This window comes from Homo sapiens, chromosome 5, assembly GCF_000001405.40.
Source record: "Homo sapiens chromosome 5, GRCh38.p14 Primary Assembly".
NCBI classification, from domain to species: Eukaryota; Metazoa; Chordata; class Mammalia; order Primates; family Hominidae; genus Homo; species Homo sapiens.
Genome location: NC_000005.10, coordinates 88,264,197 through 88,277,800, shown reverse-complemented (window position 1 = coordinate 88,277,800; position 13,604 = coordinate 88,264,197). Strand labels below are relative to the sequence as shown.

General features: G+C 38.6%; 1 protein-coding gene, 1 long non-coding RNA gene and 1 pseudogene across 19 annotated transcripts in view, besides 2 other annotated features; 2 read left to right on the top strand and 1 right to left on the bottom strand.

Annotated features, from left to right (window-relative positions):
- Positions 1–8,919, bottom strand: part of TMEM161B-DT (TMEM161B divergent transcript) — a 167,793-nt gene extending 158,874 nt beyond the window's left edge. For 2 of the 4 annotated variants that reach the window (NR_039993.1, NR_039995.1), the window contains exons 1-2: positions 8,774–8,919; positions 7,216–7,275 (exon numbers count right to left, since the gene is read on the bottom strand). This is a non-coding gene — a long non-coding RNA (TMEM161B divergent transcript). Of the gene's footprint in view, positions 1–7,215; positions 7,276–8,681 lie in introns of all 4 variants that reach the window. The other 2 variants (NR_105019.1, NR_039994.2) reach the window with 1 other exon arrangement.
- On the top strand, positions 3,425–3,543 carry RNA5SP187 (RNA, 5S ribosomal pseudogene 187; annotated as a pseudogene).
- Positions 8,670–9,169: an enhancer, noted in NCBI's record as "H3K27ac hESC enhancer chr5:87564449-87564948 (GRCh37/hg19 assembly coordinates)". NCBI's record gives its function as "activates a minimal SCP1, AML or CMV promoter by ChIP-STARR-seq in naive H9 embryonic stem cells {active_cell/tissue: H9 hESC(naive)}" and the evidence as "EXISTENCE:reporter gene assay evidence [ECO:0000049][PMID:30033119]".
- Positions 8,790–8,979: an enhancer, noted in NCBI's record as "active region_22755". NCBI's record gives its function as "activates an Ori minimal core promoter by ATAC-STARR-seq in GM12878 lymphoblastoid cells {active_cell/tissue: GM12878}" and the evidence as "EXISTENCE:reporter gene assay evidence [ECO:0000049][PMID:35858748]".
- Positions 8,956–13,604, top strand: part of TMEM161B (transmembrane protein 161B) — an 83,276-nt gene continuing 78,627 nt past the window's right edge. For 12 of the 15 annotated variants that reach the window (NR_110266.2, NM_001349407.2, NM_001289007.2 and 9 more), the window contains exon 1: positions 8,956–9,080. Coding sequence is in view for 4 of the 15 variants with exons in the window: in NM_001349407.2 (NP_001336336.1) it covers positions 9,078–9,080 (3 nt within the window). In the remaining 11 variants the exon portion in view is untranslated. The remainder of the gene's footprint in view (positions 9,081–13,604) is intronic. The other 3 variants (XM_047416812.1, XM_024454378.2, XM_024454375.2) reach the window with 1 other exon arrangement.

Genomic DNA, 13,604 nt, shown 5'->3' with positions numbered 1-13,604 from the left:
CTGTTACGAATATCTACAAGTCAATTCTATCTTAAATCTGCTTCTGGAGTATCCTGAATTCTGCTTTTTGTCATACAGACTTTAGAATCAGTTTGTCAAGCTCCTTGAAAAACTCATTTGGGATTTGTATTGCAATTACCTTCATTGTGTAGTGGAGAACTGCCATCTTAACTCGAGTCTTTTAATCATTGAACATGGCAATTTTAAAATTAGACATTTTTAAATGCCTGTCAATAAAGTTTTGTAATTTTCTACAGAGGTCTTCTATACCTTTTGTTAAGTTACCTAATTTATATTTTTAAAGGAATATAGTAAATGGTATGTTACAAAAATCATTTTCTAACAGTTCATTTCTGCTGGAAAGAAATGCAATTCACTTTTGTATATTGATAGTCATATTATCTGTTTTCACATTGCTATAAATACTGGAGACTGAGTAATTTATAAAGAAAAGGGGTTTAATTGGCTCATGGTTCTGCAAGCTGTACAGGAAGCATAGTGGCTTCTGCTTCTGAGGCAGCTTCAGGAAGCTTCCAATCATGGTGGAAGGCAAAGGGGGAGCAAGAGCAAGAGAGAGGGGAGAGGTACCACACAATTCTAAATTACCAGATCTCCTAAGAACTATTTCAAGGACAGTACCAAGAGGATGGTACTAAACCACGAATGAGAAACCCATTCCCGTGATCCAATCTCCCACCAGGCCTCACCTCCAACATTGGGGATTACAATTCAACATGAGATTTGGGTAGGGACACAGATCCAAACCATATCAATAGTATATTCAGAATCCTTGCAAAGCTCTTCAATAATTTATCTGTAGACTAAGTTATGTTTATTTACAATTTTTAATCTTTTGTTTTTCTTGCCTTATAATGCTGGCTAGGATCTCCAACATAGTACTTGTTCCTGATTCTAATGGACTGCTTCAAATACTTCATCTTAAAATATTGTTGTTGTAGGTTTTATTGGCTCAAGGAAGTTCTACACAATTCTAATTTGCCCAAAGGTTTATCTATGTCTGTTAATTTTTTCAAATAGTTTTCTTTTCCTGCATCTGTTCAGATAGCCAGATAGTTTTTCTAATCTCTTAATATACTAAAATACATTCCTGGGTTAAATTCAACCTGATCATGTTTTATTATCTTTTCTTAAAAACACATTTTCTAAGGTCTGTTTTATTTAGGATTTTTGTCTTTGCGAATATGACAGGGCTGTAATTCTTACTGCCCTTATCAAATCATTACTGCCCTAATAAAATCAGGGCAGTAATATTAAGCTTCTGTAACCTTGATGTTAAATTTGATAAGGGCAGTAAGGGCCAATTCCACAGTATATAAGTGGAATATACTGTGGAATGGTTTGTGTAAAATTGTAATGATCTGTCCTTTGAAGGTTTGGCAAAAGTCTCTGGGCATCATGATTTCTTACATCAACATCCCACCATTTATATTTTCCATTACATGGCTTTTGAAAAGTTACATTTTCTGGAACTGCCTACTTCATTTATATTTTCCCATTTATTATTAAGTTGTTCATAATTTCTCATCAATCTCCACAGCATTTGTAACAACATCCCCATTTTCACTTCTAATAATATTTATTTATTTATTTTTTTCCAAGAGACAAAGGTCTTGTTATGTTGCCTAGGCTAGTCTCAAATTCCTGGCCTCAAGGGATGGTCCCGCCTTGGCCTCCCAAGGTGCTGAAATTACAGACGTGAGCCACCACACTCAGCTTGGACAAAATATAAAACAAACATCTGACAGCATTAGAGACAATGAAATATTCAGAAGGAAAAAACAGAGTTGTTGAATCCAGCATTTACATTAGCTTTTCCTCTGGAGTATCTTCTGATTCCTGAGGTGATGGCTGAAAAGTTGAACAGAGTTTCTAACCCATAGAATTAAAAAGACAAAAACTGAAGTTTAGGGCCTGATCTGGTAAACTCTGCATGCTTGAGTTGGGACTTCAGAGGTCTACATTGTGAAAGTATGAACAGGAAATAGACCTGCCTATATTCTAATTGTCTCTATCACTAACCAGATTAAGAAGATCTTAGATTACTAGTGTCCAAAGGTCTTGCCAGGAGACATAAATTCTTTCTTTAGAAAATACCATCATATTGGACTTCAAAGTATAGTTTCCTCATATACAGTTCAATCAAAACAATTCTGACATTCAATTAAAACATAACCTAAGCCAAGTTTTATATATTTATAATGTTTATAAAATAAATAATACAAAATAACATAAAAATAAGGGACATAAAAGCAAGACAATGTGATAACAGCAAGAAACAAGAAAAGTGTCAGATAATAGCAGACACCATAGTTATTAGATACAGGTTTTAAAGTAATTATGATTAGTATGTTTGAGGAAATAAAAGATTGAGATATTGGATAAACAACTGGAAACAATAAAACAGAATCAAGTAGAAATGTTTGAACTGATAACCAAAAATATAACTAAAATAAATGCTTCAAGAGAGATTTAACAAATTCGAGACTACTAAGAGAAAATAGTGAACTGAAAGTTAAGAAGAAATATTCAGGATGAAACAGACAAGAAAATAAATGGAAAATACAAGGGACAAAGTGAATTGTCAAATACAAATGTAAGTGGAGTATCAAAAGAAGAGGAGAAAGGAGAGTGAAAGCAGAAGCAATGTCTGATCAAACAGAGCTAAGAATTTTCTCAAACAGCCTAAGGACATCACAGCCAGATTCAAGAAACATTATCAATCTCGAAGCAGAAAAAAACCACACACACAAAAAAACAAACACAAAACACATGTGGGCACACCAAACTTAAGACAAACCTCTTAAAAGTAGCCATCCAAAAAAAGATTACCTTTGAAGAGAAAAAAACAAAATGGACATTATGTCTTAGAGGACATAATGGAAGCCAGAAGGAATAAAATATATCTTCAAAATGATAAAATAGCTGCTAATTCAGCAAAAACGTTCTTAGAAAATGAAAGTAAAATAAGACAGTGTCAGGACAGAAAATCTGAATGAATTGTTACCAGTAGATATTCGAAGAAATATTAAAGTATGTCCTTCAAGAAGAAATAAGGTCTTAGATGGAAGCTCAGATTCCAGGAACCACGAAACACAATAGAAAAAGTAAATGTTTTATACAATATGAAATGTAAATTCATATTGTATAAAAAATGTCTTGAGAATTTAGGAAATACATATTAAGAATATACAATGTATATAACATGAGGTGTGGCAGTAAATGAAGTTGATGTGTTCGCAGGTCCTTACATTGTCCTGGAAGAAGTATAATACCAAATTATCTTAAAGATGATAAACCAAGGTTCCATGTTTTAATACCTGAGGTGAACAGTAAAAAGATACTAAAAGACATCTGTCAAGCTTATGAGGTAGAAAAAATGGAATAATTAAAAATAATCTAAAAGGTCTATAGCCATACCACCCTGAATATGCCTGTTCTCATCTGATCTGGGAAGCTAAGCAGGGCTGGGGCTGATTGGCACTTGGATGAGAGTCTGCCTGGGAATATCAGGTGCTATGGCCTAATTAAGAAAAAAAAAAATCAAAAAGGCAAAAGAAGACAAAATGAACATATAAGAGGTGGGACAAATAAAATAAGAATAATGACAAATTTAAATCCAAGTATGTTAGTAATTATGTTACATGAAAGCTGACTCTTTATGCCAATTAACAAATTACCAAAGTGGATTTTAAAAATATATTATCTTATATTACTCTTTGGATTAAAATGCTCTCATTTTTTTTTCCATTGCACATAGAATAAAATCTAAACTCTTTCCTGTCTTTCAAAGGTAACATGATCTAGCCCTTTCCTATCCCTCCAAAGTTACAGTATTTGCGTCTTAAGTCACTATTCTCTAACCATGCAGGCCTTCTTTTGGCTCCTGAAATATTCCAGGCTAGATCATGCCTTAGATTTTGCAGTTGTCCCTTCTGCAAGCAAAGGGTTCACCAATTTTTACAAAGCTGGATTCTCTTGTCATTTACACAGCAGCTTAAATGGTATTTTAGTTTCTTTAATCACCTAATCTAAAATAGTCATGTTTGAATTTCATGCCTAGTACTTACCACTGTCTTCTGTTTTTGTTAATTTATGGCTTATTACTACTAAAATGTAAATTTCCTGATAGTAGGGACAATATCTGCTTTATTTACCACTATTTCCTCAGAGTGTAGAAGAGTGAATGATACAGTTTTATATTCAATAACTATTTAATGGATGGATAAAGCTAATTAAAGTTTTAAACAGATAGGTACTTTCAGACAGTTTTGTCTTTTTACTGCTATTGGTGGTACTGATTGTTTAAAGACTTTCTTGATACCAAAAAATATCAAATGGATGTATGTGAGTGGTCCTTGAAAATGTGCACTGTACAACCTGTGTAAAATTGCAAGGGTTATTTCACCAATTAATCAGCTATGTGATATATTCCTAGATACAACTGTGGTAAGCTACATGAAAATAAAAATTCAGAAGTCTACTGAATTGTTAAAGGTTGCAATATACTTCAGAATAACATTTAAAACATTTTTTTTTCCAGCCTAGAAAGATGAGAGTAATATAGTGGATGTTAAAAAGCATGTTGAAAACAAAAAAAATCCTCATCCTTTTTTTTTTTTCTTGAGATAGTCTCGCTCTGTCACACAGGCTGGAGTGCAGTGGTGCCATCACAGCTCTCCGCAACCTCTGCTTCACAGGCCCAAGCGATCCTCCCACCTCAGCCTCCCAAGTAGGTGGGGCTACAGGGGTGTGCCACCATGCCTGGTTAATTTTTATATTTTTGTAAAGAGGGGGTTTTGCCATGTTGGCCAGGCTGGTCTTGAATTCCTGGCCTCAAGTGATCTGCCCAACTCGGCCTCCCAAAGTGCTGGGATTATAGGCATGAGTCACTATGGTCAGCAAAAAAAATAAATAAATAAATAAATAAAATCCCCCAATATACAAAGTTTGTTTTAGAGTGTTAATGCCAGCAGTGGGGATTGATATATTTTGGTTACTTTTTGCAATTTGTGCTTAAAATTTGTTTCATGTCAAAGCAATCATACTGGCCACAATTTTGCATCCTGCTGTCTTAATATGGGCAACTATAACCAAACTACCATAAACTGGGTGACTTAAACAACAGAAATTTATTTCTCACAGTTCTGGAGGCTGGGAAGTTAGAGAAGAGTGCCAGCATGGTTGGCACAAATTAGGCCCTCTTCCTGATTTGTAGTTGTCTGTTTTCTTGCTGTGTCCTCACATGGTGAAGAGCAAAGAAAGAGTGGAAGCAAGCTGTCTAGGGTCTCTTGTTGTAAAGGCACTAATCCCATGCAGGGCTTCACCCTTATTATTTAATCACCCCCCAAAGGCCCCACCTACTAATATCATGTCATTGGAGATTAAGGCTTCAATATATGAATTCTGGTGCGGAGGGAGGGGGGACACAAACATGCAGTCTATAAAATGCTTTTTAATTTTTTGAGACAGGATCTTGCTCTGTTGCCCAGGCTGCAGTGCAGTGGCATGATCTTGGTTTACTGCAACATCTACCTCTTGGACCCAAGTGATCCTCCCACCTCAGTCTCCTGAGTAGCTGGAACTACGGGCACACCCCATCACACTCAGCTAATTTTTAAATTTTTTGTAGAGAAGAGGTCTCACTATATTGCCTAGGCTAGTCTCCAACTCTTGTGCTCTAGTGATCCTCCCACCTCAGCCTCCCATAGTGCTGCAATAACAGGAGTGAGCCACTGTGCCTGGCCTCAAATGCTGTTTTAACTTAGACAATAAACATTTTCCATTAGAAAGACTAGTCTAATGGCTCTTTAGAACAGCTAGATAAAATTCCACTAAGCATATATAACAATTGATCAATCTTATCGTCTGTAAGACTGCAACAAACTTTTTACCATTATAGGTATTACTACAAATAACGTCTTTGTCATAAAGCATTTTAAGGGCAATTTAAATGAAGTAACTGTTTACAACATTCACTTAAATGATATTTGTTATGGGGAAGGCGAGAAAACAAAACAAGGTCCCAGCTGTGGAGGAATTTATAGTCTAATTAGGAAAACAGTATATGTTAGGGGAAAAAAAACTACAATGAAAGCATACGACACTTAACCTTGTTCAGAAACAGTAATTTCTTAGCAGAAAAACTAAGCAGAACATTTTGCAAAAAATATGGACTGAACTGCGAAAAAGTGATATATCTTAATGGTTTAAAGAGTTCCAGGTCAGTGTGGGTATCGTACTTTTTGTTGGTCTTGAAAGCATTTGAGAACAGTTCTCATTCAGGACATTTCAACTCATCACAAAGCCCGAATGGTAAGCAACCAAGACTTTTCTCAAAGATTATGCTCCTAATTCCCTTGCTGAAACTACTGAATTTCTTTTCATCTCCATCTATCTTTTCTTCCCTTTCATAACTGTCCCCTTTCTTTGTATCTTTGTCAAAGACACTCACCTATTTTAAATAATGGAAACAGAGAAATTACTGTACTTCAAGGCAGGCAACCAATAGATAATAATATTATTCTACCAAAAAAAAAAGACTGGGTGGCACTACCTTAAAACATATATCCATTTTAATCATTAAATAGCATTACTTATATAACAGATTTTTCACATGTAATTGAGAGAACTGTGTGAAACAGAACATTAAAAGATATTAATCAAGAGTTATTCATCAACTTGCCATACAACAAATAAGGAACACTGCACTCTGTGATCTATTAAAAATGATAAGCAGATAATCAAAACTGCGATTTCTTTTCATGGTTTTACTCTAGCAGGAATGGATTCCATTCTGATAGTAATTCCAGTTTTACTGTCACATAGAAGGAGATACTTTGCGAACCTCAATGACTGCCAGGTTTAGGACAGATATTAAGAACCACAGTGTCAGAAATGAAAGAGTACAACTTCACAGAATGTGTTGTCTCTGACAGGTTGATAGCCACTTACCTTCTCCATCTTTTCTTCCTCAAGGATAGCAGCTGCTTCCCACAGATACACCAACAGGCAATTCCAGCCCCTCTCTACCACACTTACCATTTGCAGGTGCCTGTGGCTTGTCTATTTACAACCTTGTCCCTACACAGCAGAAGCGGAACCCTTCAGGAAGTTCTGGATTCATCCTCAGCAGGATCTGTTTCACAAACTATTCTCCAGTCCCACCTTCCCTCCAGGTATTCTGTCAGTACTTACGATTCCCAGATCTTCTTTTAATTGTCACGCTGTTCGTCCCCTCACAAAATCAAGTTTAAACTAAAAAAAAAAAACAAAAAAAAAAACCCTCATACACTCAGTCTGTGTCCCCTTTCCTGACATAAAATAACTGGCCCTGTGCATGCTTCTTTTGGATGGCTGAGAACCCCGATTCCTTTGGGCCATTTACAGCTTGGATACCATACGCTCCAGGTACTTTGATAAGCAGGGTGAAATTTAATATCTATAACAACGCCTGCCTACTCAACCTTCTTAACTTCTCCCAAAACTTCCTAGTTTCCCTTCCCAATTCCAACTTCATAACAAAACATCACACTATGGCACAAAGTGAATTCATGGATGAAATTACTAACAGCTACAACTTAAGTAAGGACCCCAAGTCGTGAGACAAATTTCTGGGTTGAAAGTGCTCTGTATATCCATTTCAAGCCTGCCTCCAGTACGATGTCTCATTATAATCAAATAAAAAGGCAGAAAAAGTTGAATGGAATAGAGTTTGGAAAAAACACAAAATTAAAAGTTGTATGAGAGTTTCACTTATTTGCATCTGATATAAATATCTATACATCTATAGAAAAAAAAAACCCTCATACACTCAGTCTGTGTCCCTTTTCCTGACATAAAGCAACTGGCCCTGTGCAAGCTTCTTTGGGATGGCTGAGAACCCCGATATATCGATATATTTATAGATAGACGTCTACATATCTATCCAAATATCTATATCTATCCATATATCTACCTATCTATCTATCTATATATATATCTATATCTATCGATCGATATCTATCTATATCTATCTATCTAGACTTCCCTGGTGAGGGAGTGAACCGCTGCCTGACGGGGGCCAAGACTGGCAGAGCAGAGACGCGGTTTGTACATGAGGGGAGGTGGTGGCCAGAGCAAAAGTGAACCGCAGGCTAGGCAAAGACCACAGCACACAGCCATACAGGTGTCCAGGACCGTCAGATCCCAGAGCATCTATCTATATAGATAGGTATCTATATGGAAAACGTCCATATTGGAACGTATTAAAGAGGCAGAATTTTCTTCCTGGGTTCTCTGCTCTTGGTAGATGTTCTTCCGGCTTCAATTGCCACCTGTGAATAGTGAAGAAACTTCTCACTATGAGATTCCATTGCCCGGAAGGAGGGTAGAGCTACGGTACCCACTAAGGCAGGGAACAGAAGCAACAGACGGACAGGTCTGTGGAAATGAGGATATGCTAATAAGGGACCGAGTCAGGAAAACTAGAGGGTAACAAGAGGGCGTCAGTTAAGCTGAGACAAAATGACGGCCAAAGGTGGTCTTTACTCTCTCTAAATCACCTGGGTCTGGAGTCGACTCCCATCGCGCACCCTCACTCCCACCCCTGGCCCCCTCCCGCCCCCCACCCGCCCCCCTCCCTCTCCCCTCCCGCTCCCCACACCAACGTGTGCCTCCGTCACCTCTCAGACAGTGGATGCGTTCCTGTTGAAACCACCCAATCTACCTCAGGGTCCTCGCAAGCGCAGCCACCACGATCCGCCCGCCCACGTACCTGTGCTGCGCCTGCGCCTCCTCCGCTCTCTCAAGGTCAGCACCGCCCCCAGCCCACAACCTGGCACCCACGGAAGTTGCTTTAGAGGACGTCCTGCGTATCTTCACCTCTGCGTGGCGTGGGGTCGACGGCGCTCTGGAGAAGGGAGGAACTTCCTGTCCCGCGCGCGCACAACTTCCGGCAGAGCCGGAAGACCCTCTCTTTCGCTGTTTGAGAGTCTCTCGGCTCAAGGACCGGGAGGTAAGAGGTTTGGGACTGCCCCGGCAACTCCAGGGTGTCTGGTCCACGACCTATCCTAGGCGCCATGGTGAGTTCTTCTGTGAGGGCAGGAGTGACAACGGTGGGGCGAAAAGGGCGGGGAGGTCAGTACTGTGAAAAGAGCCATCAGGTGCTCTGCTCAGAATGGAGTTGAGACGTTGGGATGAGCTGCTGGGTAGGACCCACCACCTATCTCAGGGTGTCTGAGCCCCTGAGGAAGCAGCATTACGCCTACCTGTCTGGGAGACTAGCGGGCCGGAGGCAGGGGCGTATCTGTCAGGGAGTATGGACTGGGTAGCCTGCCTGTTCATGGCCCATTTACTGTGTATGGCCTGTGGCGCCAGGTGATCCCAGAGTTGACCTTGCCGGGTCAGTCACCTCTTCTGCGCCCCCTTCTCCATCCGCGGAACAGTGGCCAAGAACTTCAGATCTTAGAAATGCTTTTAGCCTCTCCAGGTGGACACAACGGGTCTCCTTGTATAAGATCAACACCTGTCATTTAAAGAAACGGTAGTCCCCTTATTCTTTACACTTAGCCATTTCATAATTGAAAAGGGTGTCAAATAAAAAACCCGAGTTTAGTAAGGACAGACTTTATTCGAAAGGAATATTGCAGGGGTGTGGAGGAAGGTTGAAGGAACTGTTGCAGTAGGGAGAATGACCGTAAGATTTGCATGCACCTTAAAGGTTAGGCAGAAAGGGTTTGTCTTTTGTTGGTAGGGGTAAATAAGATGTCAGGAATTGGGATGAAAATATGGGTATGATCCGGCAGTAACCAGATAATGTTTTACCCTGAGCCCATGTATTCTGAGGAGGAGCTGTTAGGAGAGGTTTGTATATGTTGTTTCAGACTGAGGGAAGGACAAAATTCAGGTACCCGAGAGAAGAGAATCTTAAAGTTTGGTTAATAAGTATTTTGTTCCGATTGATCTGTGGGACAGGTACTTCAGCAAGTCATTTACGAAGCAAAGGATGGGAATTAGAAGGGTCTAGTTATGGCCTTGTTATAGGTAAACAAGGGGTAGGGGGGTATGGATCAACCCTTAGTCTTATCTAAGTTCTACAGGAAAGATGATTCTTTGCAGTAAGCCAATTTCTCAGAACACAAACGGGGGCAAGGGGTTTCTTAACCTTTGCTGTTTTTCAAGATCACGGGGCTCTGGTGAAGTTCATTATTGTCAGTTTCTTCACCGTATACAAGATTTCAAACCCTCACTTGCAGAGGCTTCTGTCCTGGAATTTAGCTTCAGTTTGTCTTATATTTTCAGGGCCAAATATTGCCAACATTCAGTTAATGTGTGTGGTGATTGGCTTTTGAATGACTTTTAGAAACTTAGCTGAATGTAGAACAAAGACCTTCAAAATAATGTAGTTCCTGGTGCACTTTACCAGATAACCTATCTCTTTAAAGTTTTTTTTTTTAAGCCTCAGTGAATAATATGGTTTGTATTAAGAAAGTTGTTTTTCTTTTGTATCAGTGAAATTAGACAAGGATAGGGAAAACAGAACTGGGAGAAACCAAAGCCTAGTAATCACTCTTCCATCCCCATTTTTACAGAAGAAAGAATCTGGGGTCTAGAAATTGACAGTGATTTTTCTAAAGTAACAGTAGTTTGGCAGTCTGGACTAAAACTCATATTTTCATTTTTTAAATTTAAGATTAATTTTTGACTTTTTGGTCTGAAAAGTTGAAGGTAAAGTATAATTAAAATACTTAAGTTCATCATAGTCACAGAAAAGCTGAACATGAACTTGTTCTCAGTGTTTTGGAATACTAGAAGTAGAATCCTGCTTATCCTGTCGGTTCAAAAGAGATGGTTAATGTTTGGAACTAATGTAATCTTATGCTGTTTTTCTGAATGTCATTTTGGAACTAACTAGTTGGCTCTTTTCCTTCTGGAAGTGCTTATATTTCTGAGCTAATTATCTTGGCTGAGTTTTATCTTTCCCAGCTATGAAATTGATAATGTCTGTATATGCAAGTGTGGTTAATGCTTGGAATTTTTCAAAGGGAAGAGTTTAACCATTAAATGAAGTGAACATGGGCTGAATTTATTGAGGATTCAGCTTGTTGAAATCAGAACTTGTTTTGCATTGCTGGGGCCTAATGATATTATGAAAAGAACATTAGTATTGACCCCAGAGGACCCAGATTCTGCCCATTGTTAGTTATATGGATTTGGAAAAGTCACTCAATTTTGATAAGAGTTCCAAATTCCTCCTGGGTAAGAGAAGTGGGACTTGATGGGTATTAAAGCACCTTCTTAAATTTATGATTCCATGACTACTCAACATTTTTGAGGATAGTTACATGTTTCAGATTAAATAAAAGTTAGTCTGATTTCCACTGTTTTGTTTCCATGCCATTTTGGCTTAAGTTTGATTTCTTTTATCATTCTCTTTTTCATTTTTTTCATAAGTCACATAGATAGTACTTGGAATCTTTGTATATTTGGCCAAGTCTTTCACTACTGTCTTAAATACTGCTCCAGAATGGAACACAACTCTTGGAATGTTTTGATTTAATTCTTGTTTTAATCAATGATAAACTAATTCTGTGCTCTCATTCTCTCATACATTATGTATACCGATACTCAATAGATACCTGTGCCTATAACAAGGTTTTTGTATTATGAATGAAGGAGAATAGGATTATGATCCAGACTGAAAATACTGAACTCACGCTTAATTTTTATGCTTTCAAGTTGTTGTGAAGACAAGTCTATAGGAAATTTACTAATGGAATAAAGCCATTTGCTCTATTGCACTTTCCTTTTTGAAAATTACAGACCAACTTTGATCAAATATAAATCTTTCTACCATTCAAGCTAATTTGTGGAAGATAGGTAGATTAGAGCTAGCTCCTGGAATTGCAGATATCACGGCTTGCATCTGTGTATCATCCTGTAGTAACTTACTGCTGTAATTGAACAATGGTTTGTGGGCAGGTGTGGGAGAGTAGGCCATGGGGAGGTTATAAACCTTTGCCATAATCAATTGGATTTGATGAAAAGTTTTCTTTTTGAGGGGAGTGGAGGGGAGTGTTGGGAAGAGTGTGTAAATGCTATAAGAGAAACACATATAATAGGCTCAAAGAGTACAGTGGAAAGAAATTATTTCTAACTGAGAGCAGGTTGGGTCATGTAGTAGGTCACAGGTTCCCAACCCCTGGGACTGTGGACTTGTACTGGTCCATGGCCTGTTAGGAACTGGGCTGCACATCAGGAGGTGAGTGGTGGGCAAGTGAGTATTAATGCCTGAGGTCCACCTCCTGTCAGATCAGTGGTGGCATTATATTCTCATAGGAGCGCAAACCCTGTTGTGAACTGTGCATGTGAGGGACCTGAGTTAGGTGACCCTTAAATGACAATCTAATGCCTGATGATCTGAGGTGGAACAATTTCATCCCGAAACCATCCTTCCTCCACACTGCCTCCACAATGTGTGAAAAAATCGTCTTCCATGAAACCAGTCCCTGGGGCCAAAAAGGTTGGGGACTGCTGTAGTAGGTGACTTCAACTGAGTTTTGAAAAGTGGGTTAATATACTAGTTTTCAAGCTTGAGTTTGCATAGGAATCACCTGTGATACTTGATAAAAAACACTTCTCTGCGCTGATAATTTGGGGTAGCATAAAGTTTTAGAATTGTATTTTTAAATTTTTTTTCAAATTTTACTTTAAGTTCTGGGATACATGTACGGAACATACAGGTTTGTTACATAGGTATACATGTGCCATGGTGGTTTTGCTGGATTTATCAACCCATCATCTATGTTTTAAACTCTGTATGTATTAGGTATTTGTCCTAATGCTCTCCCTCCCCTTGCCCCCCACCCCCTGACAGGCCGCAGTGTGTGATGTTACCCCCTCTGTGTCCATGTGTTCTCATTGTTTAACTCCCACTTATGAGTGAGAACATGGTTTGGTTTTCTGTTCCTGTGTTAGTTTGCTGAGAATGATGACTTCCAGCTTCATCCATGTCCCTGCAAAGGACATGAACTCATTCTTTTTTATGGCTGCATAGTATTCCATGGTGTATATGTGCCACATTTTTGTGATCCAGTCTATCATTGATGTGTATTTGGGTTGGTTCCAAGTCTTTGCTATTGTAAATAGTGCTGCAATAAACATACGTGTGTGTGCATGTATCTTTAGAGTAGAATGATTTATAGTCCTTTGGGTATATACCCAGTAATGGGATTGCTGGGTCAAATGGTATTTCTGGTTCTAGATCCTTGAGGAATCACCACACTGTCTTCCACAATGGTTGAACTAATTTACCCTCCCACCAGCAGTGTAAAAGCGTTCCTATTTCTCCACAGCCTCGCCAGCATCTGTTGTTTGCTGACTTTTTTAATAATTGTCATTCTAACTGGCATGAGATGGTATCTTATTGTGGTTTTGATTTGTATTTCTCTAATGACCAATGACGATGAGCTTTTTTTCATGTTTGTTGGCCACATAAATGTCTTCTTTTGAGAAGTGTCTGTTCATATCCTTCGCCTACTTTTTGATGGTGTTGTTTTTTTCTTGTAAATTTGTTTAAGTTCCTTGTAGATTCTGGATATTAGAAT